The 26,535-nt window shown below is 36.8% G+C and overlaps 10 annotated features.

Annotated features, from left to right (window-relative positions):
* Positions 669-1,520: an enhancer, noted in NCBI's record as "OCT4-NANOG-H3K27ac-H3K4me1 hESC enhancer chr19:27732451-27733302 (GRCh37/hg19 assembly coordinates)". NCBI's record gives its function as "activates a minimal SCP1, AML or CMV promoter by ChIP-STARR-seq in naive and primed H9 embryonic stem cells {active_cell/tissue: H9 hESC(naive and primed)}" and the evidence as "EXISTENCE:reporter gene assay evidence [ECO:0000049][PMID:30033119]".
* Positions 1,521-2,373: an enhancer, noted in NCBI's record as "OCT4-NANOG-H3K27ac-H3K4me1 hESC enhancer chr19:27733303-27734155 (GRCh37/hg19 assembly coordinates)". NCBI's record gives its function as "activates a minimal SCP1, AML or CMV promoter by ChIP-STARR-seq in naive and primed H9 embryonic stem cells {active_cell/tissue: H9 hESC(naive and primed)}" and the evidence as "EXISTENCE:reporter gene assay evidence [ECO:0000049][PMID:30033119]".
* Positions 2,374-3,225: an enhancer, noted in NCBI's record as "OCT4-NANOG-H3K27ac-H3K4me1 hESC enhancer chr19:27734156-27735007 (GRCh37/hg19 assembly coordinates)". NCBI's record gives its function as "activates a minimal SCP1, AML or CMV promoter by ChIP-STARR-seq in naive and primed H9 embryonic stem cells {active_cell/tissue: H9 hESC(naive and primed)}" and the evidence as "EXISTENCE:reporter gene assay evidence [ECO:0000049][PMID:30033119]".
* Positions 3,316-3,840: an enhancer, noted in NCBI's record as "OCT4-NANOG hESC enhancer chr19:27735098-27735622 (GRCh37/hg19 assembly coordinates)". NCBI's record gives its function as "activates a minimal SCP1, AML or CMV promoter by ChIP-STARR-seq in naive and primed H9 embryonic stem cells {active_cell/tissue: H9 hESC(naive and primed)}" and the evidence as "EXISTENCE:reporter gene assay evidence [ECO:0000049][PMID:30033119]".
* Positions 4,138-4,706: an enhancer, noted in NCBI's record as "OCT4-NANOG-H3K27ac-H3K4me1 hESC enhancer chr19:27735920-27736488 (GRCh37/hg19 assembly coordinates)". NCBI's record gives its function as "activates a minimal SCP1, AML or CMV promoter by ChIP-STARR-seq in naive and primed H9 embryonic stem cells {active_cell/tissue: H9 hESC(naive and primed)}" and the evidence as "EXISTENCE:reporter gene assay evidence [ECO:0000049][PMID:30033119]".
* Positions 4,707-5,275: an enhancer, noted in NCBI's record as "OCT4-NANOG-H3K27ac-H3K4me1 hESC enhancer chr19:27736489-27737057 (GRCh37/hg19 assembly coordinates)". NCBI's record gives its function as "activates a minimal SCP1, AML or CMV promoter by ChIP-STARR-seq in naive and primed H9 embryonic stem cells {active_cell/tissue: H9 hESC(naive and primed)}" and the evidence as "EXISTENCE:reporter gene assay evidence [ECO:0000049][PMID:30033119]".
* Positions 5,307-6,182: an enhancer, noted in NCBI's record as "OCT4-NANOG-H3K27ac-H3K4me1 hESC enhancer chr19:27737089-27737964 (GRCh37/hg19 assembly coordinates)". NCBI's record gives its function as "activates a minimal SCP1, AML or CMV promoter by ChIP-STARR-seq in naive and primed H9 embryonic stem cells {active_cell/tissue: H9 hESC(naive and primed)}" and the evidence as "EXISTENCE:reporter gene assay evidence [ECO:0000049][PMID:30033119]".
* Positions 6,183-7,056: an enhancer, noted in NCBI's record as "OCT4-NANOG-H3K27ac-H3K4me1 hESC enhancer chr19:27737965-27738838 (GRCh37/hg19 assembly coordinates)". NCBI's record gives its function as "activates a minimal SCP1, AML or CMV promoter by ChIP-STARR-seq in naive and primed H9 embryonic stem cells {active_cell/tissue: H9 hESC(naive and primed)}" and the evidence as "EXISTENCE:reporter gene assay evidence [ECO:0000049][PMID:30033119]".
* Positions 7,057-7,930: an enhancer, noted in NCBI's record as "OCT4-NANOG-H3K27ac-H3K4me1 hESC enhancer chr19:27738839-27739712 (GRCh37/hg19 assembly coordinates)". NCBI's record gives its function as "activates a minimal SCP1, AML or CMV promoter by ChIP-STARR-seq in naive and primed H9 embryonic stem cells {active_cell/tissue: H9 hESC(naive and primed)}" and the evidence as "EXISTENCE:reporter gene assay evidence [ECO:0000049][PMID:30033119]".
* Positions 7,931-8,804: an enhancer, noted in NCBI's record as "OCT4-NANOG-H3K27ac-H3K4me1 hESC enhancer chr19:27739713-27740586 (GRCh37/hg19 assembly coordinates)". NCBI's record gives its function as "activates a minimal SCP1, AML or CMV promoter by ChIP-STARR-seq in naive and primed H9 embryonic stem cells {active_cell/tissue: H9 hESC(naive and primed)}" and the evidence as "EXISTENCE:reporter gene assay evidence [ECO:0000049][PMID:30033119]".

Here is a 26,535-nt window from a genome sequence, read left to right on the forward strand (position 1 = left end):
GATCCTTTACACAGAACAGATTTGAAACACTCTTTTTGTGGAATTTCCAAGTGGAGATTTCAGCCGATTTGAAGTCAATCGTAGAAAAGGAGATATCTTCGTATAAAAACAAGACAGAATGATTTTCAGAAACTGCTTTGTGATGTGTGCGTTCAACTCACAGAGTTTCAACTTTCTTTTCATAGAGCAGTTAGGAAACACTCTGTTTGTAAAGTCTACAAGTGGATATTCAGACCTCTTTGAGGCCTTCGTTGGAAACGGGATTTCTTTATATTATGCTAGACAGAAGAATTCTCAGTAACTTCCTTGTGTTGTGTGTATTCAACTCACAGAGTTGAACGGTTCTTTACACAGAGCAGATTTGAGACACTCTTTTTGTGGAATTTGTAAGTGGAGATTTCAGCCGCTTTGAGGTCAGTGGTAGAAAAGGAAATATCTTCGTATAAAAACTAGACAGAATGATTCTCAGAAACTGCTTTGTGATGTGTGCGTTCAACTCACAGAGTTTAACCTTCCTTTTCATAGAGCAGTTAGGAAACACTCTGTTTGTAAAATCTGCAATTGGATATTCAGACCTCTTTGAGGCCTTCGTTGCAAACGGGATTTCTTTATGTTATGCTACACAGAAGAATTCTCAGTAACTTTCTTGTGTTGTGTGTATTCAACTCACAGAGTTGAACGATCCTTTAAACAGGGCAGATTTTAAACACACTTTTTGTGGAATTTGCAAGTGGAGATTACAGACGCTTTGTGGTCAATGGTAGAAAAGGAAATACCTTCGTATAAAAACAAGACAGAAACTCCTTTGTGATGTGTGCGTTCAATTCACAGAGTTTAACCTTTCTTTTCATAGAGCAGTTAGGAAACACTCTGTTTGTAATGTCTGCAAGTGGATATTCGGACCTCTTTGAGGCCTTCGTTGGAAACGGGATTTCTTCATATTATGCTAGAAAGAAGAATTCTCAGTAACTTCTTTGTGTTGTGTGTATGCAACTCACAGAGTTCAACCTTCCTTTAGACAGAGCACATCGGAAACACTCTTTCTGAGGGATTTGCAAGTGGAGATTTCAAGCGCTTTGATTCCAAAGGCACAAAAGGAAATATTTTCGCAAAAAACTAGACAGAATCATTCTCAGAACCGGTTCTGTGATGTGTGCGTTCAACTCACTGAGCTTAACTTGTCTTTTCATTCAGCAGTTTGGAAACACTCTGTTTGTCAAGTCTGCAAGTGGATATTCGGACCTCTTTGAGGCCTTCGTTGGAAACGGGATTTCTTCATATTACACTAGACAGAAGAATTCTCAGTAACTTCCTTTTGTTGTGTGTATTCAACTGACAGAGTTGAACCTTCCCTTAGACAGAGCAGATTTGAAACACTCTTTTTGTGGGGTTTGCAAGTGGAGATTTAAAGCGCTTTGAGGCCAAAGGCAGAAAAGGAAATATCTTCGTATAAAAACTAGACAGAATCATTCTCAGAAACTGCTGTGTGATGTGTGCTTTCAACTCAGAGAGTTTAACTTTTCTTTTCATTCAGCAGTTTGGAAACACTCTGTTTGTAAAGTCTGCAAGTGGATATATTGACCTCTTAGGGTCCTTCGTTGGAAACGGGTTTTTTTTCATGTAAGGCTAGACAGAAGAATTCCCAATAACTTCCTTGTGTTGTGTGCATTCAACTCACAGAGTTGAACGTTCTTTTAGACAGAGCAGATCGGAAACAATCTTTTTGTGCAATTTGCAGGTGGAGATTTCAAGCGCTTTAAGGTCAATGGCAGAAAAAGATATATATCTTCATTTCAAAACTAGACAGAATCATTCCAAAAAGTGCATTGTGATGTGTGCGTTCAACTCACAGAGTTTAACCTTTGTTTTCATATAACCGATTGTAAACGCTCTGATTGTCAAGTCTGCAAGTGGATATTCCGACCTTTTTGTGGCCTTAGTTGGAAACGGGATTTCTTCATAAAATACTACACAGAAGAATTATCAGTAACTTGCTTGTCTTGTGTGCATTCAACTCACAGATTTGAAAGATCCTTTACACAGAGCAGATTTGAAACACTCTTTTTGTGGAATTTGTAAGTGGAGATTTCAGCCGCTTTGAGGTCAATGGCAGAAAAGGAAATATCTTCGTATAAAAACTAGACAGAATGATTCTCAGAAACTGCGCTGTGATGTGTGCGTTCAACTCACAGAGTTTAACCTTTCTTTTCATAGAGCCGTTTGGAAACACTCTGTTTGTCAAGGCTGCAAGTGGATATTCTCACCTCTTTGTGGCCTTCGTTGAAACGGGATTTCTTCATATAATGCTAGACAGAAGAATTCTCAGTAACTTCCTTCTGTTGTGTGTATTCAACTCACAGATTTGAAAGATCCTTTACACAGAGCAGATTTGAAACACTCTTTTTGTGGAATTTGCAAGTGCAGATTTCAAGCGCTTGGAGGCCAATTGTAGAAAAGGAAATATCTTCGTATAAAAACAAGACAAAATCATTCCCAGAAACTGCGTAGTGAGGTGTGTGTTTAACTCACAGAGTTTAACCTTTCGTTTCATACAGCATTTTGGAAACACTCTGTTTGTAAAGTCTGCAAGTGGATATTTGGATCTCTTAGATGCCTTCGTTGGAAACGGGATTTCTTCATATAATGCTACAGGGAAGAATTCTTAGTAACTTCTTTGTGTTGTGTGTATTCAACTGTCAGATTTGAACCTTCATTTAGACAGAGCAGATTTGAAACACTCTTTTTGTGGAATTTGCAAATGCAGATTTCAAGCCCTTTGAGGCCAAACGCAGAAAAGCAAATATCTTCGTATAAAAACTAGACTGAATCATTCTCAGAAACTGCTCTGTGCTGTGTGCGTTCAACTCACAGAGTTTAAGTTTTCTTTTCATTCAGCAGTTTGGAAACGCTCTGTTTGTAACGTCTGCAAGTGGATATTTTGACCTCTTTGAGGCCTTCGTTGGAAACGGGATTTCTTCATATAATGCTAGAGGGAAGAATTCTTAGTAACTTCTTCGTGTTGTGTGTATTCAACTGTCAGAGTTGAACCATCATTTAGACAGAGCAGATTTCAAACACTCTTTTTGTGGAATTTGCAAATGCAGATTTCAAGTCCTTTGAGGCCAAACGCAGAAAAGGAAATATCTTCGTATAAAAACTAGGCAGAATCATTCTCAGAGACTGCTCTGTGCTGTGTGCGTTCAACTCACAGTGTTTAAGTTTTCTTTTCATTCAGCAGTTTGGAAATGCTCTGTTTGTAACGTCTGCAAGTGGATATTTTGACCTCTTTGAGGCCTTCATTGGAAACGGATTTTTTTCAGGTAAGGCTATACAGAAGAATTCTTATTAACTTCCTTGTGTTGTGTGTATTCAACTCTCAGAATTGAATTTTCTTCTAGACACAGCAGATTTAAAACACTCTTTTTGTGCAATTTGCAAGTGGAGATTTCAAGCGCTTTGATTCCAATAGTAGAAAAGGGAATATCTTCGCATAAAAACTAGACAAAATCATTCCCAGAAACTGCATAGTGATGTGTGTGTTTAACTCACAGAGTTTAACCTTTCTTTTCATACAGCATTTTGGAAACACTCTGTTTGTAAATTCTGCAAGTGGATATTTGGACCTCTTTGAGGCCTTCGTTCGAAACGGGATTTCTTCATATACTGCTAAACAAAACAATTCTAAGTCACTTCTTTGTGTTGTGTGTATTCAACTGACAGAGTTAAACCTTCCTTTAGACAGAGCAGATTTGAAACCCTCCTTCTGTGGAATTTGCAAGTGGCGATTTCAAGCGCTTTAAGGTCAATGGCAGAAAAGGAAACATCTTCGTTTAAAAACTAGACAAAATCATTCCCAGAAACTGCGTTGTGATGTGTGCGTTCAACTCAAAAAGTTTAACCTTTCTTTTCATAGAGCCGTTTGGAAACACTCTGTTTTTGAAGTCTGCATGTGGATATTCGGACCTCTTTGAGGCCTTCGTTAGAAACGGGATTTCTTTATATTATGCTAGACAAAAGAATTCTCACTAACTTCTTTGTGTTGTGTGTGTGCAACTCACAGAGTTCAACCTTCTTTTAGACAGAGCAGATTTGAAATACTCTTTTTTTGGAATTGGCAACTGGAAGTTTCAAGCGCTTAGAGGCCAATGGTAGAAAAGGAAATATCTTCGTATAAAAACAAGACAAAATCATTCTCAGAAACTCCGTAGTGATGTGGGTGTTTTACTCACAGAGTTTAACCTTTCTTTTCATACAGCTTTTTGGAAACACTCTGTTTGTAAAGTCTGGAAGTGGATATTTGGACCACTTGTATGCCTCCTTTGGAAACGGGATTTCTTCATATAATGCTGGAGAGAAGAATTCTTAGTAACTTCTTCGTGTTGTGTGTATTCAACTGACAGATTTGAACCTTCCTTTAGACAGAGGAGATTTAAAACACTCTTTTTGTGGAATTTGCAAGTAGAGATTTCAAGCGCTTTGAGGCCAATGGCAGAAAAGGAAATATCTTCGTATAAAAACTAGACAGAATCATTTTCAGAAACTGCTCTGTGATGTGTGTGTTCAACTCAGAGAGTTTAACTTTTCTTTTCATTCCGCAGTTTGGAAACACTCTGTTTGTAAAGTCTGCAAGTGGATATTTTGACCTCTTTGAGGCCTTCGTTGGAAACGGGTTTTTTTCTTGTAAGGCTAGACAGAAGAATTCTCAGTAACTTCCTTGTGTTGTGTGTATTCAACTCACGGAGTTGAACGTTCCTTTAGAGAGAGCAGACTTGAAACTCTCTTTTTGTGGAATTTGCAAGTGGAGATTTCAAGAGCTTTGTTGCCAATGGTAGAAAAGGAAATATCTTCGCATAAAAACTAGACAAAATCATTCCCAGAAACTGCGTAGTGATGTGTGTGTTTATCTCCCAGAGTTTAACCTTTCTTTTCATACCGCATTCTGGAAACACTCTGTTTGTAAAGTCTGCAAGTGGATATTTGGACCTCTTAGATGCCTTCGTTGGAAATGGGATTTCTTCATATAATGCTAGACAGAAGATTTCTCAGTAAGTTCTTCATGTTGTGTGTATTCAACTCTCAGATTTGAACGTTCCTTTAGACACAGCAGATTTGAAACACTCTATTTGTGGAATTTGCAAGTGGAGATTTCAAGCGCTTTGAGGCCAACGGTAAAAAAGGTAATAAATTCGTTTAAAAACTACACAGAATCATTCGCAGAAACTGCGTTGTGCTGTGTGCGTTCAATTCACAGAGTTTAACCTTTCTTTTCATTCAACAGTTTGGAAACACTCTGTTTGAAAAGTCTTCAAGTGGATATTTGGACCTCCTTGAGGCGTTCGTTGGAAACGGGATTTCTTCATATAGGGTTAGACAGAAGAATTCTCTGTAATTTCCTTTTGTTGTGTGTATTCAACTCACAGAGGTGAACGTTCCTTTAGACAGACAGATTTGAAACACTCTTTTTGTGGAATTTGCAAGTGGAGATTTCAGCCGCTGTGAGGTCAATGGTAGAAAACGAAATGTCTTCATATAAAAACTATACAGAATGATTCTCAGAAACTTCTTTGTCATGTGTGAGTTGAACTCACAGAGTTTAACCTTTCTTTTCATTCAGCAGTTTGGAAACACTCTGTTTATAAAGTCTGTAAGTGGATATTTTGACCTCTTTGAGGCCTTCGTTTTAAACGGGTTTTTTTCATGTAAGGCTAGACAGAAGAATTCTCAGTAACTTCCTTGTGTTGTGTGTATTCAACTCACAGATTTGAACGTTCCTTTAGACAGAGGAGATTTGAAACACTCTCATTGCGGAATTTGCAAGTGGGATTTCAAGCGCTTTGAGGCCAACGGTAGAAAAGGAAATATCTTCGTTTCAAAACTAGACAGAATCATTCCCACAAACTGCGTTGTGATGTGTGCGTTCACCTCACGGACCTTAACCTTTCTTTTCATAGAGCAGTTTGGAAACACTCTGTTTGTAAACTCTGCAAGTGGATATTTGGACCTATTAGACGCCTTCGTTGGTAACGTGATTTCTTCATATAATGCTAAACAGAAGAATTGTCAGTAACCTCCTTTTGTTTTGTGGATTCAACCCACAGAGATGAACATTCCTTTAGACAGAGCAGATTTCAAACACACTTTTTGTGGAATTTGCAAGTGGAGATTTCAAGCGCTTTGAGGCCAATTGTAGAAAAGGAAATATCTTCGTATAAAAGCTAGACAGAATGATTCCCAGAAACTGCGTTGTGATGTGTGCGTTCAAGTCACAGAGTTTAACTTTTCTTTTCATTGAGCAGTTTGGAAACACTCTGTTTGTAAAGTCTGCAAGTGGATATTTGGATCTAGTAGAGGCCTTCGTTGGAAACGTATTTTGTTCATGTAACGCTAGACAGAAGAATTCTCAGTAACTTCCTTGTGTTGTGTGTATTCAACTCGCAGAGTTGAACGGTCCTTTAGACAGAGCAGATTTCAGACACTCATTTTGTGGAATTTGCAAGTGGAGATTTCAAGCGCTTTAAGCTCAATGGCAGTAAAAGGAATATCTTCGTTGAAAAAATAGACAGAATCATTCCCACATAGTGCGTTGTTATGTGAGCGTTCAACTCACAGAGTTTAACTATTCTTTTCATAGAGCAGTTAGGAAACACTCTGTTTGTAAAGTCTGCAAGTGGATATTTTGACCTCTTTGAGGCCTTCGTTGGAAACGGGTTTTTTTCATGTAAGGCTAGACAGAAGAATTCTTAGTAACTTCCTTGTGTTGTGTGTGTTCAACTCACAGAGTTGAACGTTTCTTTAGACAGAGCAGATTTGAAACACTGTTTTTGTGGAATTTGCAAGTGGAGATTTCAAGCGATTTAAGGTCAATGGCAGAAAAGGAAATATCTTCGTTTCAAAACTAGACAGAATCATTCCCGGAAACTGCGTAGTGATGTGTGTGTTTAACTCACAGAGTTTAACCTTTCTTTTCATTCTGCAGTTTGGTAACACTCTGTTTGAAAAATCTGCAAGTGGATATTTTGACCTCCTTGAGGCGTTCGTTGGAAACGGGATTTCTTCATATAAGGCACGACAGAAGAATTCTCAGTAACTTCCTTGTGTTGTGTGTATTCAACTCACAGAGTTGAACGTTCCTTTAGACAGAGCAGATTTGAAACACGCTTTTTGTGGAATTTGCAAGTGGAGATTTCAAGCGATTTAAGGTCAATGGCAGAAAAGGGAATATCTTCGTTTAAAAACTAGACAGGATCATTCCCACAAACTGCGTTATGATGTGTGCGTTGAACTCACTTTGTTTAACCTTTCTTTTCATAGAGCCATTTGGAAACACTCTGTTTGTCAAGTCTGCATGTGGATATTCGGTCCTCTTTTTGGCCCTCGCTGGAAACGGGATTTCCTCATATAATGCTAGACAGAAGAATTCTCAATAACTTCCTTGTGTTGTGTGTATTCATATCACAGTTTTGAACGTTCCTTTAGACAGAGCAGATTTGAAACACTCTTTTTGTGGAATTTGCAAGTGGAGAATTCAGCCGCTTTGAAGACAATGTTAGAAAAGGAAATATCTTCGTAGAAAAACTAGACAGAATGATTATCAGAATCTGCTTGGTGATGTGTGCGTTCAACTCACAGACTTTAATCTTTCTTTTCATAGAGCAGTTAGGCAACACTCTGTTTGTAAAGTCTGCAAGTGGATATTCGGACCTCTTTGAGGCCTTCGTTGGAAACGGGATTTCTTCATATAGTGGTAGACGAAAGAATTCTTAGTACCTTCTTTGTGTTGTGTTTATGCAACTCACCGAGTTGAACCTTCCTTTATACAGAGCAGATTTGAAACACTCTTTTTGTGGAATTTGTAAGTGGAGATTTCAAGCGATTTGAGGCCAATGGTAGAAAAGGAAATATCTTCATATAAAACTAGAAAGAATCATTCCCCAAAACTGCATGGTGGTGTGTGCGTCAACTCACAGTTTTACGTTTGTTTTCATAGAGCAGTTGGGAAACACTCTGTTTGTAAAGTCTTCAAGTGGATATTTTTACCTCCTTGAGACCTTCGTTGGAAACGGGATTTCTTTATATAATGCTAGACAGAGGAATTCTCAGTGACTTCCTTTTGGTGTGTGCATTCAACTCACAGAGTTGAACCTTCCTTTAGACAGAGCAGATTTGAGACACTCTTTTTGTGGAATCTGCAAGTGGAAATTTCAAGAGCTTGGAGGCCAGTGTTAGAAAAGGAAATATCTTCGTATAAAAACTAGACAGAATCATTCCCAGAAACTGCGTTGTGATGTGTGCATTTAACTCACAGAGTTTAACCTTTCTTTTCATTCAGCAGTTTGGAAACACTCTGTTTGAAAATTCTGCAAGTGGATATTTGGACCTCCTTGAGGCGTTCGTTGGAAACGGGATTTCTTCATATAAGGCTAGACAGAAGAATTCTCAGTAACTTCCTTGTGTTGTGTGTATTCAACTCACAGAGTTGAACCCTCCTTTAGACAGAGCAGATTTGATACACTCTTTTTGTGGAATTTGGAAGTGGAGCTTTCAGCCGCTTTGAGGCCAACTGTAGAAAAGGAAATATGTTCGTATAAAAGCTAGACAGAATCACTCCCAGAAACTTCGTTGTGATGTGTGTGTTCACCTCACATAGTTTAACCTTTCTTTTCATTGAGCAGTTTGGAAACACTTTGTTTGTAAAGTCTGCAAGTGGATATTTGGACCTAGTAGAGCCCTTCTTTGGAAACAAGATTTCTTCATATAATGCTAGAGAGAAGAATTCTCAGTAACTTCATTTTGTTGTGTGTATTCAACTCACAGTGGTGAACTTTCCTTTAGACAGAGCAGAGTTGAATCTTCCTTTTGATAGAGCTGTTTTTACTCTTTTTATTGAATATGCAAGTGGATATTTGGAGTGCTTTGGAGCCTTCGTTTTAAAAGGTAATATATTCACATAAAAACTAGACAGAAGCATTCTCAGAAGCTTCTTTTTGATATGTGCACTCAACTCACAGAGTTGAACCTGCCTTTTGATAGAGCAGTTTTGAAACGCTCTTTTGTTGTATCTGGAAGTGGATATTTGGAGTGCTTTGAAGCCTTCATTGGAAACGGGAATATATTCTCATTAAAACTAGACAGAAGCATTCTCAGAAACTTCCTTGTGATGTGTGCGTTCAACTCACAGAGTTGAACCTTTGCTTTGGTGTAGAAGTTTTGAAACACTCTTTTTGTAGAATCTGCAGTTGGATATTTGTAGCTCTTTGAAGCCTATGGTAGAAAAGGAAATATCTACACATAAAAACTAGACAGAAGCATTCTCAGAAACTTCTTTGTGATGTGTGCTTACAAATCCCAGAATTTAAACTTTTTTTTTGACAGAGCAGTTTTGAAACACTCTTCTTGTAGTATTTGCAAGTGGATAATTGGATTACCTTGAAGCCTTGGTGGAAATGGAAATATTTTCCAATAAAATCTAGACAGAAGCATTGTCAAAAACTCCTTTGTGACGTGTACATTCAACTCACAGAATTTTACATATCTCTTAACAGAGCAGTTTTGAAACCCACTTTTTGTAGAATCTGCAAGTGGATATTTGGAGCAATTTGTGGGTATGGTGGAAAAGGAAATACCTTCACATAATAACTAGACAGAAGCTTTCAGAAACTTCTTTGTGATATGTGCATTCAATTCACAGAGTTGAACCTTTCCTTTGATAGAGCAGTTTTGAAACACTCTTTTTGATGAATCTGTAATTGGATATTTGGAGTGCATTGTGGCCTATGGTAGAAAAGGAAATATCTTCACATAAAAACTAGACAGAAAAATTCTCAAAAACCTCTTTCTGATGTTTGCATTCAACTCACAGAGTTAAAAATTTCTTTTGATAGAGCAGTTTTGAAACACTCTTTTTGCAGAATCTGCAAGTGGATATTTGGACAGCTTTGAGGCCTTTGTTTTATTTTTATTTTTATTTTTTTAAATGAAAAATATTTATTTATTATAAACCTATTTTGTTTGTTTGTTTTTTATTATACTTTAAGTTTTAGGGTACATGTGCACATTGTGCAGGTTAGTTACATATGTATACATGTGCCATGCTGGTGCACTGCACCCACTAACTAGTTATCTAGCATTAGGTATGTCTCCCAATGCTATCCCTCTCCCCTCCCCCAACCCCACCACAGTCCCCAGAGTGTGATATTCCCCTTCCTATGTCCATGTGATCTCATTGTTCAATTCCCACCTATGAGTGAGAATATGCAGTGTTTGATTTTTTTGTTCTTGCTATAGTTTACTGAGAATGATGATTTCCAATTTCATCCATGTCCCTACAAAGGACATGAACTCATCATTTTTTATGGCTGCATAGTATTCCATGGTGTATATGTGCCACATTTTCTTCATCCAGTCTATAATTGTTGGACATTTGGGTTGGTTCCAAGTCTTTGCTATTGTGAATAATGCCGCAATAAACATACGTGTGCATGTGTCTTTATAGCAGCATGATTTATAGTCATTTGGGTATATACCCAGTAATGGGATGGCTGGGTCAAATGGTATTTCTAGTTCTAGATCCCTGAGGAATCGCCACACTGACTTCCACAATGGTTGAACTAGTTTACAGTCCCACCAACAGTGTAAAAGTGTTCCTATTTCTCCACATCCTCTCCAGCACCTGTTGTTTCCTGACTTTTTAATGATTGCCATTCTAACTGGTGTGAGATGGTATCTTATTGTGGTTTTGATTTGCATTTCTCTGTTGGCCAGTGATGATGAGCATTTTTTCATGTGTTTTTTGGATGCATAAATGTCTTCTTTTGAGAAGTGTCTTTTCATGTCCTTCACCCACTTTTTGATGGGGTTGTTTGTTTTTTTCTTGTACATTTGTCTGAGTTCATTGTAGATTCTGTATATTAGCCCTTTGTCAGATGAGTAGGTTGCGAAAATTTTCTCCCATTTTGCAGTTTTGAAACAATCTTTTTGTACAATCTGAAAGTGGATAATTCGAGTACTTAGAAGCCTTCTTTGGAAACGGGAATATCTTCACATAAAAATTAGACAGATGCATTTTCAGAAACTACTTTGTGATGGTAGCATTCAACTCAGAGAGTTGAAACCTCCTTTTGATAGATCTGTTTTGAAAGGCTCTTTTTGTAGAATCTGCAAGTGGATATTTGGAGCGCTTTGAGGCCTGTGGTAGAAAAGGAAATATCTTCATAAAAAAAATAGACAGACGTATTCTCAGAAACTACTTCATGATGTGTGCATTCAACACAGAGACTTTAACCTTTCTTTTGATAGAGGAACTTTGAAACACTCTTTTTATAGAATCTGCAAAGGGACATTTGGAGCACTTTGACGGATACCGTGGAAAAGGAAATATCTTCACATAAAAACGAGTCAGAAGTGTTCTCAGAAACTTCTTTGTGTTGTTTGCATTCAACTCACAGAGTTGAAACTTTCTTTTCATTGAGCAGTTTTGAAACACTCTTTTTGTAGAATCCGCAAGTGGATATTTGGACTGCTTTGAGGCCTTCATTGTAAATGGGAATATCTTCACATAAAAACTAGACAGAAGCATTCTCAGAAACTTCTTTGTGATGTGGGCATTCACCTCAAAGTGTTGAACCTTCTTTTGATACAGCAGTTTTGAAAAACTCTTTTTGTGGTATCTGCAAGTGGATATTTGGAGCGTGTTGAGGCCTTCGTTTGAAACGAGAATATCTTCACATAAAAACCAGACAGAAGCATTATCAGAAACTTCTTTGTGATGTGTCCATTCAACTCTCAGAGTTGAACCTTCCTTTTGATAGAGCAGTTTTGAAATACTTTTTTTGAAGGACATGCAAGTGTATATTTGGAGTGTTTTGAAGCCTTCATTGGAAACAGGAATATCTTCACATAAAAACTAGATGGAAGCATTCTCCAAAACTTCTTTGTGATGTGTGCATTGGTAGAGCAGATTTGAAACACTCTTTTTGGAGAATCTGCAAGAGGATATTTGGAGCCCTTTAAAGCCTATGGTAGAAAAGGAAATTTCTTTATACAAAAACTGGAAAGAAGAATTCTCAGAAATTAGTTTTTGATGTGTACATTCAACTCACAAATTTTAAGCTTTCTTTTGATACAGCAGTTTTGAAACACTCTTTTTATAGAATCTGCAAGTGGATATTTGGACTACTTTGAGACCTTCGTCGGAAACGGGAATATCTTTACATAAAAACTAGACAGAGGCATTCTCAGAAAATACTTTGTGAAGTGTGTATTCAACTCACAGAGTTGAACTTTCCTTATGATAGTGCAGTTTTGAAACACACTTTTTGTAGAATCTGCAGTTGGATATTTGGACTGCTTTGAAGCCTTCTTTGGAAATGGGAATATCTTCACATAAAAACTAGGCAGAAGCATTCTCAGAAACTTCATTGAGATGTGTGCATTCAACTCACAGAGTTCAACCCCACTTTGGATAGAGCAGTTTTGAAACACTCTTTTTGTAGAATCTGCAAGTGGATATTTGGAATCTTCAGAAGCCTATGGTGGAAAAGGAAATGTCTTCATATAAAAACTAGAAAGAAACATTCTCAGAAACTACTTAGTGATGTGTGCTTACAACTCACAGAATTTAACCTTTCTTTTGAAAGAGCAGTTTTGAAACACTCTTCTTGCAGAATGTGCTAGTGGATAATTGGAGTGCTTTGAAGGCTTTGTTGGAAACGGGAATATCGTCACAAGAAAAATAGACAGAAGCATTCTCAAAAACTGCATTGTGATGTGGGCATTCATCTCACAGAGTTAAACTTATCTTTTTACAGAACAGTTTTGAAACACTCTTTTTGTAGTATCTGCCATTGGATATTTGGGACGCTTTGAAGCCTTTCTTGGAAACGGGAATATATTCACAAAAAACTAGACAGAAGCATTCTCAGAAACTTCCTTGTGATGTGTGTATTCAACTCACAGAGTTGAACGTTCTTTTTGAAAGATCAGTTTTGAAACACTCCTTTTGTAGTATCTGCAAGTGGATTATTGGAGTACTTTGAAGTCTTCATTGGAAACGGGTATATCTTCACATAAAAACTAGAAGATGCATTCTCACAAACTTCATTGTGATGTGTCCATTCAAGTCACAGAGCTGCACCTTCCTTTTCATAGAGCAGTTTTGAAAGAGTCTTTTTGTAGTATCTGCAAGTGGATACTTGTAGTGGTTTCAAGCCTTCAATGGAAACGGGAATATCTCCAAATAAAAAAAAGACAGAAGCATTCTCAGGAACTTCCTTGTGATGTGTGCATTCAACTCACAGAGTTGAACCTGCCTTTTATTAGAGCAGTTTTGAAACACTCTTTTTGTAGAATCTGCAAGTTGATCATTGGGGTACTTTGAAGTCTTCGTTGGACACGTGTATATCCTCACATGAAAACTAGACAGAAGTATTCTCAGAAACTTCTTTTAGATATGTGCATTTACCTCATAGAGTTGAACCTTCCTTTTGATAGAGCAGTTTTGAAACGCTCTTTTTGTAGTATCTGCAAGTGGATATTTGGAGTGCTTTAAGCCTTCATCGGAAACGGGAATATATTCACATAAAAACTAGAGAGAAGCATTCTCAAAAACTTCCTTGTGATGTGTGCATTCAACTCACAGAGTTGAATCTTCCTTTTGATAGAGCCGTTTTGAAACACTCTTTTTGTAAAATCTGCATGTGGATAATTGGAGTGCTTTGAAGTCTTCGATGAAAACGGGTATATCTTCACATAAAAACTAGAAAGATGCATTCTCAGAAACTTCTTTGTGATGTGTCCATTCAACTCACAGAGCTGAACCTTCCTTTAGATAGAGCAATTTTGAAAGAGTCTTTTTGTAGTATCTGCAAGTGGGTATTTTTAGTGGTTTGAAGCCTTTGTTGGAAAAGTGAATAGCTCAAAATAAAAACTAGACAGAAGCATTCTCAGTAACTTCCTTCTGATGTGTGCATTCAACTCACAGAGTTGAACCTTCCTTTTGATAGAGCAGTTCTGAAACACTCTTTTTGTAGCATCTGCACGTGGATAATTGGAGTAATTTGCAGTCTTCGTTGGAAACGGGAATATATTCACATAAAAACTAGACAGATGCCTTCTCAGAAACTTCTTTGTGATGTGTCCATTCAACTCACAGAGCTGAACCTTCCTTTTGATAGAGCAGTTTTGAAAGAGTATTTTTGTAGTGTCTGCAAGTGGATATTTGGAGTGCTTTAAGCCTTCATTGGAAACGGGAATATATTCACATAAAAACTAGACAGAAGCATTCTCAGAAACTTCCTTGTGATGTGTTCATTCAATGCACAGAGTTGAATCTTCCTTTTGATAGAGCAGTTTTGAAACACTCTTTTTGTAGAATCTGCAAGTGCATCATTGGTGTACTTTGAAGTCTTCGATGAAAACGGGTATATCTTCACATAAAAACTAGACAGATGCATTCTCAGAAACTTCTTTGTGATGTGTCCATTCAACTCACAGAGCTGATCCTTCCTTTTGATAGAGCAGTTTTAACTTACAAGGGATGTGAAGGACCTCTTCAAGGAGAACTACAAACCACTGCTCAAGGAAATAAAAGATGATACAAACAAATGGAAGAACATTCCATGCTCATGGTTAGGAAGAATCAATATCGTGAAAATGGCCATACTGTCCAAGGTAATTTACAGATTCAATGCCATCCCCATCAAGCTACCAATGACTTTCTTCACAGAATTGGAAAAAACTACTTTAAAGTGCATATGGAACCAAAAAAGAACCCACATCGCCAAGTCAATCCTAAGACAAAAGAACAAAGGTGGAGGCATCACACTACCTGACTTCAAACTATACTACAAGGCTACAGTAACCAAAACAGCATGGTACTGGTACCAAAACAGAGATATAGATCAATGGAACAGAACAGAGCCCTCAGAAATAATGCCACATATCTACAACTATCTGATCTTTGACAAACCTGAGAAAAACAAGCAATGGGGAAAGGATTCCATATTTAATAAATGGTGCTGGGAAAACTGGCTAGCCATATGTAGAAAGCTGAAACTGGATCCGTTCCTTACACCTTATACAAAAATCAATTCAAGATGGATTAAAGAGTTAAATGTTAGACCTAAAACCATAAAAACCCTAGAAGAAAACCTAGGCAATACCATTCAGGACATAGACATGGGCAGGGACTTCATGTCGAAAACACCAAAAGCAATGGCAACAAAAGATAAAATTGACAAACGGGATCTAATTAAACAAAAGAGCTTCTGTACAGCAAAAGAAACTACCATCAGAGTGAACAGGCAACCTACAAAATGGGAGAAAACTTTTGCAACCTACTCATCTGACAAAGGGCTAATATCCAGAATCTACAATGAACTCAGACAAATTTACAAGAAAAAAAACAAACAACCCCATCAAAAAATGGGCCAAGGACTTGAACAGACACTTCTCAAAAGAAGACATTTATGCAGCCAAAAAACACATGAAAAAATGCTCATCATCACTGGCCGTCAGAGAAATGCAAATCAAAACCACAATGAGATACTACCTCACACCAGTTAGAATGGCAATCATTAAAATGTCAGGAAACAACAGGTGCTGGAGAGGATGTGGAGAAATAGCAACACTTTTACACTGTTGGTGGGACTGTAAACTAGTTCAACCTTTGTGGAAGTCAGTGTGGCGATTCCTCAGGGATCTAGAACTAGAAATACCATTTGACCCAGCCATCCCATTCCTGGGTATATACCCAAAGGACTATAAATCATGCTGCTATAAAGACACATGCACACATATGTTTATTGCGGCACTATTCACAATAGCAAAGACTTGGAACCAACCCAAATGTCCAACAATGATAGACTGGATTAAGAAAATGTGGCACTTATACACCATGGAATACTATGCAGCCATAAAAAATGATGAGTTCATGTCCTTTATAGGGACATGGATGAAACTGGAAATCATCATTCTCAGTAAACTATCACAAGAACACAAAACCAAACACCGCATAATCTCACTCATAGGTGGGAATTGAACAATGAGATCACATGGGCACAGGAAAGGGAACATCACACTCTGGGGACTGTTGTGGGGTGCGGGGAGCGGGGAGGGATAGCATTGGGAGATATACCTAATGCTAGATGACTAGTTAGTGGGTGCAGTGCACCAGCATGGCACATGTATACATATGTAACTATCCTGCACAATGAGCACGTGTACCCTAAAACTTAAAGTATAATAATACAAGAAAAATTAAAAAAAAATCCGGTAAACTAAATGTTCACAGTGACAATTATAATAGTCTAAAAGTGGAAAGAAACCAAATGTTCATCTATTGATAAATGGTTAAACAAAATGTGGTATATACATATGGAATGTCATTTTCCACAAAAAGGAAGTGCTATTGCATGCTATAACATGGATGAACGTTGTAAACATTATGCTAAATAAAAGAAACCAAATACAAAAGGCCACATATTGTATGATTCAAGTTATATGAAATGTCCAGAATAGGCAAAATCATAGAAACAGATAGCAAATTTGAGGTGCCAAGGGTTAGAGGATTGGGGAATTGGAGGTGACTGCTGTCAGTTATGAGATTTCTTTTTGTGGTGATGGAAATGTTCCAGAATTAGGTCATGATGATTAACATAACACTGTGACTATACTAAAAAAACATTAACCTGTAAACTTGAAAATGGTGACTTGTATGTTATGTGAATAATACCTAAATAATTAAAAGAAGTAAGGATAATAAAATCATCTTAATCAGCCAGCTATGCTAGAGCAAGTAAAGCTAAATATCTTTTTAGGATCTAGAGAAAATAAAATTATAAAATTATCATACATAAAGACAATTAATGAGTATGCAGCAAAAAACTATTACAAAGATGGGTCATGCAATTCTATAATTTGTAAATGTTATTTTTATCAACTGAGTGGTATATTTCAAAAATTTAAAGCATTTTTAAGTTTATAATTCATTGTGTTTGTTTTTTCACTCCAAATAAATACCTACTGTCATGACTAAAAAAAAAAAAGAAAGAGTCTTTTTGTAGTATCTGTAAGTGGATATTTGTAGTGGTTTGAAGCCTTCGTTGGAAAAGGGAATATCTCCAAATGAAAACTAGACAGAAGCATTCTCAGAAACTTCCTTGTGATGTGTGCATTCAACTCACAGAGTTGAACCTTCCTTTTGATAGAGCAGTTCTGAAACACTCTTTTTGTAGCATCTGCACGTGGACAATTGGAGTAATTTGTAGTCTTCGTTGGAAACGGGAATATCTTCACATAAAAACTAGACAGATGCCTTCTCAGAAACTTCTTTGTGGTGTGTCCATTCAACTCACAGAGCTGAACCTTCCTTTTGATAGAGCAGTTTTGAAAGAGTCTTTTTGTAGTGTCTGCAAGTGGATATTTGTATTGGTTTGAAGCCTTGGTTGGAAAAGGGAATATCTCCAAATAAAAACTAGACAGAAGCATTCTCAGAAACTTCCTTGTGATGTGTGCATTCAACTCACAGAATTGAACCTTCCATTTGATAGAGCAGTTCTGAAACTCTCTTTTTGTAGCATCTGCACGTGGATAACTGGAGTACTTTGATGTCTTCATTGGAAATGGGTATATCTTCACATAAAAAATAGAAGCATTCTCAAAAACTACTTTGTGATGTGTGCATTCAACTCACAGATTTGAACCTTCCTTTTGATAGAACAGTTTTGAAACACTCTTTTTGTAGATTCTGCAATTGGATATTGGGAGTGCTCTGAAGTCTTCGTTGGAAACGGGAATTTCTCCACATAAAAACTAGACAAAAGCATTCTCAGAATCTTCTTTGAGTTGTTTGCATTCAACTCACAGAGTTGAAACTTTCTTTTGATGGAGCAGTTTTGAAACACTCTTTTTGTAGAATATGCAAGTGGATATTTTGTCTGCTCTGAGGAATTCGTTGGAAACGGGAATATCTTCAAACAAAAACTAGACAGAAGCATTCTCAGAAACTGCTTTGTGATGTGTGTGTTGAACTCACAGCGTTTAAACTTCCTTTTCATAGAGAAGTTTTGAAACACTCTTTTGTAGAATATGAAAGTGGATATTTGGAGTGCTTTGAAGCCTTCATTGGAAAGGGGAATATCTTCACATAAAAACTAGACAGAAGGATTCTCAGAAACTTCCTTGTGCTGTGTGCATTCCACTTACAGATTTGATCCCTCCTTTTGAAAGAACAGTTTTGAAACATTCTTTTTGTAGAATCTGCAGTTGGATATTTGGAACCCTTTGAGGCCTACGGTAGAAAGGGCAATATCTTCATATAAAAACTAGAAAAAAAACATTCTCAGAAACTACTTTGTGATGTGTGCATTCAAGTCACAGAGTTTAACCTTTCTTTTGATAGAGCAGTTTTGAAAAACTCTTTTTGTAGAATCTGTAAGTGGACATTTGGAGCACTTTGAGGGTTACTGTGGAAAAGGAAATACCTTCACATAAAAACTAGACAGAAGCATTCTCAGAAACTTCTTTGTGATGTTTGCATTCAACTCACAGTGTTGAACCTTTCTTTTCATAGAGCTGTTGTGAAACACACTTTTTGTATAATCTGCAAGTGGATATTTGGACTGCTTTGAGTCCTTCATTGGGAACGGAAATATCTTCACATAAAAACTAGACTGAAGAATTCTGAGGAAATTCTTTGTGATGTGTACATTCACCTCACATAGTTGAAACTTTCTTTTGATAAAACAGTTTTGAAACTGTTTTTGCAGAATCTGCAATTGGATATTTGGAGTGCTTTGAGGCCTATGTTAGAAAAGGAAATACCTTCATATAAAAACTAGACAGAAGCATTCTCAGAAACTACTTTGTGATGTGTGCTTACAACTCGCAGAATTTAACCTTTCTTTTGATATGCAGTTTTGAAACACTCTTTTTGAAGAATCTGCAAGGGGATAATTTGAGTGCTTTGAAGCCTTCCTTGCAAACGGGATTATCTTCACATAAAAATTAGACAGAAGTATTCTCAAAAACTACATTGTGATGTGGGCATTCATCTCACAGAGTTTAACCATTCTTTTGATAGGGAAGTTTTGAAACACTGTTTTTGTAGAATTTGCAAGTTGATAGTTGGACCACTGTGAGGCCTTCATTGGAAAGGGGAATATCTTCACATAAAAACTACACAGAAGCATTCTCAGAAACTTCTTTGTGGTATGTGCATTCAACACACAGAGCTGAGTCCTCCTTTTCATAGAGCAGTTTTGAAACACTCTTTTTATAGTATCCGCAAGTGGATATTTCAGTGCTTGGAAGCCTTCTTTGGAAACTGGAATATAATAACATAAAAAGTAGACAGAAGCATTGCCAGAAACTTCCTTGTGATGTGTGCATTCAACTCACAGATTTTAACTTTCTTTTGATAGAGCAGTTTTGAAACACTTTTTTTGTAGAATCTGCAAGTGGATATTCTGACTGCTTGTAGGCATTCCCTAGAAACAGGTATATCTTCACAAAAAAACTAGACAGAAGCATTCTCAGAAACTTCTTTGTGATGTTTGCATTCACCTCACAGATTTGAACCTTTCTTTTCATAGAGCAGTTTTGAAACACTCTTTTGGTAGTATCTGCATGTGGATATTTGGACTTCATTGAGGCCTTTGTTAGAAACGGGATTATCTTCACATAAAAACTAGACAGAAGCATTCTCAGAAACTTCTTTTTGATGTGTGCATTCAACTCACTGAGTTGAAACTTTCTTTTGTTAGAGCAGTTTTGAAACACTCTTTTTGTAGAATCTGCCATTGGATATTTGGAGCACTTTGAGGCCTATCATAGAAAAGGAAATAGCTTCATGTAAAAACAAGACAGAAGCATTCTCAGAAACTACTTCATGATGTGTGCTTACAACTCACAGAATTTAAACTTTCCTTTGATAGAGCAGTTATGAAAAACTCTTTTTGTAGAATCTGCAAGTGGGTAATTGGAGTGCTTTGAAGCCTTCAGTGGGAACGGGAATATCTTCACATAAAAAAAAGACAGAAGCATTCTCAGAAACTACTTTGTCATGTGATTTTGAACTCACAGAGTTGAACCTTCCTTTTGATAGAGATGTTTTGAAACACTCTTTTTGAAAAATCTGCAAGTGGATAATTGGAGTGCTTTGAAGCCTTCGTTGGAAATGGGAATATCTTCACATAAAAACCAGACAGAAGCATTCTTAGAAACTCTTTGGGATGTGTGTAGTCAACTCACAGAGTTTAACTTATCTTTTGATAGAGCAGTTTTGACACATGCTTTTTGTAAAATCTACAAGTGGACATTTGGAGCACTTTGAGCACTATGGTGGAAAAGGAAATATCTTAACATAAAATAGACAGAAGCATTCTCAGAAACTTCTTTGTGATATGTGCATTCAACACTCAGAGTTGAACCTTTCTTTCAATAGAGTACTTCTGACACACTCTTTTTGTTGAATCTGCAAGTGGACATTTGGGGCACTTTGAGGGCTATGTTGAAGAAAGAAATATCTTCACATAAAAACTAGACAGAAGCATTCTCAGAAACTTCTTTCGGTCGTTTGCATTCAACTCAGAGATTTGAACCTTTCTTTTGATAGAGCAGTTTTGAAACACTCTTTTAGTAGAATCAGCACATGGATAGTTTGAGTGCTTAGAATACTTCGTTGGAAAAGGGAACAGCTTCACATAAAAACTAGACAGAAGGATTCTCAGAGGCTACTTTGTGATGGGTGTGTTCAACTCAGAGAGTTGAACATTCCTTTTTGTGCAGCAGATTTTAAACACTCTTTTTGTAGAATCTGCAATAGGATATTTTCAGCCTGTTGAGGCCTCTGGTAGGAAAGGAAATTACTTTATATAAAAACTAGAAGAAAGAAATCTCAGAAGCTAGTTTTTGATGTGTGCATTCAACTCACAGATTTTAACCTTTCTTTTGATAGAGCAGTTTTGAAACACTCTTTTTGTAGAATCTGCAAGTGGATATTTTTACAGCTTTGAGGAATTCGTTAGAAACGGGAATATCTTCACATAAAAACTAGACAAAAGCATTCTCACAAACTTCTTTGTGATGTTTACATTCAGCTCACAGTGTTGAACTTTTCTTTTCATAGAGCAGTTTTGAAGCACTCTTTTTGTAGTATCTGCAAGTGGATATTTGGACTTTTTTGAGGCCTTCATTGGAAACGGGAATATCTACACATAAAAACTAGACAGAAGCATTCTCAGAAACTTCTTTGAGATGTGTGCATTCAACTCACAGAATTGCACCTTTCTTTTGATAGGGCAGTTTTGAAACACTCTTTTTGTAGAATTTGAAATTGGATATTTGGAGCGCTTTGAGGCCTAAGTTAGAGAAGGAAATATCTTCATATAAAAACTAGACCGAAGCATTCTCAGAAACAACTTTGTGATGTGTGCTTACAATTCACAATATAAAACGTTTTTTTTTTTTTTTGATATAGCATTTTTGAAACACTCTTTTTGTAGAATCTGCAACTGGATAATTGGAGTTCTTTGAAGCCTTCTTTGGAAACGAGAAGATCTTCACATAAAAACTAGACAGAAGCATTCTCAAAAACTACATTGTGGTGTGCGCATTCAACTCACGGAGTTTAACCTATCTTTTGACAGAGCAGTTTTGAAACACTCTTTTGTAGAATCTGCAAGTCGACATTTGGAGCACTTTGAGGGCTATGGTGGAAAAGTAAATATCTTCACATAAAAACTAGACAGAAGCATTCTCAGAAACTTCTTTGTGATGTTTGTATTGAACCCAGAGAGTTGAAAATTTCTTTTCACAGAGCATTTTTGAAGTACTCTTTTTGTAGAATATGCAAGGGGATATTTGGGCTGATTAGGGGCCTTCATTGGAAACGGGAATATCTTCACATAAAAACTAGACAGAAGCATTCTCAGAAACTTCTTTGTGATGTGTGCATTCAACACACAGAGTTTAACCATTCTTTTTATAGAGCAGTTTGAACCACTCTTTTTGTAGAATCTGCAGTGGACATTTGAAGCACTTTGAGGGCTATGGTGGAAAAAGTAATATCTTCACAAAAAAACTAGACAGGAGCATTCTCAGAAACTTCTTTGTGATGTTTGCATTCAACTCACAGAGTTGAACCTTTCTTTTGATAGAGTAGTTTTGTAACTCTCGTTTTGTAGAATCTGCAAGTGGATATTTGGACTTCTTTGAGAGCTTCGTAGGAAATGGGAATATACAAACAGAGAGAAGCATTCTCAAAAACTACTTTGTGATGTGTGCATTCAACTCACCGAATTTAACCTGTCATTTGACAGAGCAGATTTGAAACACTCTTTTTGTAGAATCTGCAAGTGGACATTTGGGGCACTTTGAGGGCTATGGTGGAGATGGAAATATCTTCACATAAAAACTAGACAGAAGTATTCTCAGAAACTGCTTTGAGATGTTTGCATTCAACTCAGAGAGTCGAACATTTCTTTTGATAGAGCAGCTTTGAAACATTTTTTTTTTAGAATCTGCAAGTGGATATTTGGACAGCTTTGAAGCCTTGGTTGGAAACGGTAATATCTTCCCATAAAAACTAGATAGAAGCATTCTCAGAAACTTTTTTGTAATACGTTCATTCAACTCAAAGAGTTGAACCTTCCTTTTGATAGAGCAGTTTTGAAACATTCTTTTTGTAGAATCTGCAAGTGGATAATTGGAGTACATTGAAGTCTTCATTGGAAACGGATTTATCTTCACATAAAAACTACACAGATGCATTCTCAGAAACTTCTCTGGCACGCGTACATTCAACTCACAGCGTTGAACCTTTCTTTTTATAGAGCAGTTTTGAAACACTCTTTTTGTAAAATCTGCAAGTAGTTATTTGGAGTGGTTTGAAGCCTTCCTTGGAAATGGGAATATCTCCACATAAAAACCAGACAGAAGCATTCTCAGAAACATCTTTGTGATGTGTGCATTCAACTCACAGAGTTGAACCTTCCTTTTGATAGAGCAGTTTTGAAACACTCTTTTTGTAGAATCTGCAAGTGGATATTTAGAAACATTTGACGCCTTCATTGGAAAAGGGAATATCTTCACATAAAAACTAGACAGAAGGATTCTCAGAAACTACTTTATGTGTGCATTCAACTCACAGATTTGAACCCTCCTTTTGGTAGAGTAGATTTGAAACACTGTTTTTGTAGAATCTCCAAGTGGGTATTTGTAGCCCTCTGAGGCCTCTGGTAGAAAAGGCAATTTCTTTATATGAAAATTAGAACAAAGCATTCTCAGAAACTAGTTTGTGATGTGTGCTTTTAACTCACAGAGTTTAACTTTTCTTTTGATAGAACAGTTTTGAAACACTCTTTCTGTAGAATCTGCAAGTGGATATTTTGACTGCTTTGAGGAATTCATTGGAAACGAGAAAAACTTCATATAAAAACTAGACAGAAGCATTCTCAGAAACTTCTTTGTGATATTTGCATTCAACTCACAGAGTAAAACCTTTCTTTTCATAGAGCAGTTTTGAAATATTCTTTTTGTAGAATCTGCAATTGGATACTTGGAGAGGTTTGAGGCCTATGGTAGAAAAGGAAATATCTTCATATAAAAACTAGACAGAAGCATTCTCAGAAACTACTTCGTAATGTGTGCTTACAACTCACAGAATTTAACCTTTCTTTTGATAGAGGAGTTTTGAAACACTGTTTTGGTAGAATCTGCAAGTGGATAATTAGAGTGCTTTGAAGCTTTGTTGGAAGAGGGAATATCTTCACATAAAAACTAGACAGAAGCATTCTCAAAAACTACTTTCTGGTGTATGCATTCAACTCACAGAGTTTAACCTATCTTTTGACAGAACAGTTTTCAAACACTGTTTTTGTAGAATCCGCAAGTGGACATTTTGAGCACTTTTTGGGCTATGGTGGAAAAGGAATATCTTCACATAAAATCAGACTGAAGCATTCTCAAAAACTTCTCTGCGATGTTTGCATTCAACACAGAGAGTTGAATATTTCTTTTGATAGAGCAATTTTGAAACACTTTTTTTGGAGAATCTGCAAGTCGATATTTGTTCTGCTTTGAGGCCTTCATTGGAAACGGGAATATCTTCACATAAAAACTAGACAGAAGCATTCTCAAAAACTACATTGTCCTGTGTGCATTCAACTCGCAGAGATTAACATATCTTTTGACAGAGCAGTTTTGAAACACTCTTTTTGTAGAAACTGTAAGTGGACAATTTGATCACTTTGAGAGCTATGGTGGAAAAAATAATATCTTCACAAAAAAACTAGACAGAAGCATTTTCAGAAACTTCTTTGTGATGTTTGCTTTCAACTCACTGAGTTGAAACTTTCTTTTCATAGAACAGTTTTGAAACACTCTTTTTGTGGAATCTGAAAGTGGATATTTGGACCGCTTTGAGGCCTTCGTAGGAAACGGGAATATCTTCACATAAAAACTAGACAGAAGCATTCTCAGAAACTTCTTTGTGATGTGTGCATTCAACTCACAGAGTTGAACTTACCTTATGATAGAGCGGTTTTGAAACCCTCTTTTTGTAGAATCTGCAAGTGGATATTTGGACTCCTTTGAGGCCTTCATAGGAAACGGAAAAATCTTCACATAAAAACTAGACAGAAGCATTCTCAGAAACGTCTTTGTGATGTGTGCATTCAACTCCCAGAGTTGAACCTTCCTTTTGATAGAATCTGAAAGTGGATATTTGGAGTGCTTTGAAGCCTTCGTTGAAAACGGGAATATCTTAACATAAAAACCAGACAGAAGCATTCTCAGAAACTTCTTTGGGATGTGTGCATTCAACTCACAGAGTTGAACATTTCTTCTGATAGAGCTGTTTTGAAACACTCTTTTTGTAGAATTTGTGAGTGGATATTTGGAGTGCTTTGAAGCCTTTGTTGGAAACGGGAATAACTCCACATAAAAACTAGACAGAAGCATTCTCAGAAACTTCTTTGAGATGTGTGACTTCAACTCACAGAGTTTCACCTTTCTCTTGATAGAGCAGTTTTGAAACCCTTTTTTTGTACAATCTGCAAGTGGAAAATTGGAGTGCTTTGAAGCTTTCGTTGGAAAGGTGTATATCTTCACATAAAAACTAGACAGAAATATTCTCAGAAACTTCTTTGTGATGCGTGCATTCAACTCACAGAGTTAAACCTTTTTTTGATAGAGCAGTTTTGAAACAAACTTTTTGTAGAATCTGCAAGTGGACATTTGGAGCACTTTGAGGGCTCTGGTGGAAAAAGAAATATCTTCACATAAAAACTAGACAGATCCATTTTCAGAAACTTCTTTGTGATGTCTGCATTCAACTCACAGAGTTGAACCTTTCTTTTGATAGAGCAATTTTTAAACACTCTTTTTGTAGGATCTGCAAGTGGACATTTGGAGCACTTTTTGGGCTATGTTGGAAAAGGTAATATTTTCACATAAAAACTAGAGAGAAGCATTCTCAGAAACTTCTTTGTGATGTTGCATTCAACTCAGAGAGTTGAACATTTGTTTTGATATAGCAGTTTTGAAACTCTCTTTTTGTAGAACCTGCAAGTGGACATTTGGACCGCGTTGAGGCCTTCGTTGGAAACGGGAATATCTTCACATAAAAATTAAACAGAAGCATTCTCAGAAGCTACTTTGTGATGTGTGCATTCAACTCACCAAGTTGAACATTCCTTTTGTTAGAGCAGATTTGAAACACTCTTTTTGTAGAATATGCATGTGGATATTTGGAGTGCTTTGAAGCCTTCTTTGGAAACGGGAATATCCTCACTTAAGAACTAGACAGAAGCATTCTCAGAAACTTCCTTTTGATGTGTGCGTTCAACTCACAGAGTTGAACCTTCGTTTTGATAGAGCAGTTTTGAAGCACTCGTTTTATAGAATATGCACGTGGGCATTTGGAGCACTTTGAGGGCTACGGTTTAAAAGAAAACACCTTCACAAGAAAACTTGACAGAAGCATTCTCAGAAACTTCGTCAGGATGTTTGCATTCAAGTCATGGAGTTGATACTTTCTTTTCATAGAACAGTTTTGAAACACTGTTTTTGTAGAATCTGCAAGTGGATATTTAGACTGCTTTGAGACCTTCTTCGGAAACGCTAATATCTTCACATAACTAGACAGAAGCATTCTCAGAAACTTCTTTCTGAAGCGTGAATTCAACTCACAGAATTGAACTTTTCTTTTGATAAAGCAGTTTGGAAACACTATTTTTGTAGAATCTGCAATTGGATATTTGGAGCGCTTTAAGGCTTATGGTAGAAGAGGAGATATCTTCATATAAAAATTACACAGAAGCATTCTCAGAAACTACTTAGTGCTGCGTACCTAAAACTCACAGAATTTAACCTTTCTTTTGATAGAGCAGTTTTGAAACACCCTTTATGTAGAATCTGCAAGTGGATAATTGTAGTGATTTGAAGCATTCGTTGGAAATGGGAATATCTTCACAAAAACTAGACAGAAGCATTCTCAAAAACTACTTTGTGAGGTGGGCATTCAACTCCCAGAGTTTA

Source organism: Homo sapiens, chromosome 19 (genome assembly GCF_000001405.40).
Source record: "Homo sapiens chromosome 19, GRCh38.p14 Primary Assembly".
Classification (NCBI taxonomy): Eukaryota; Metazoa; Chordata; class Mammalia; order Primates; family Hominidae; genus Homo; species Homo sapiens.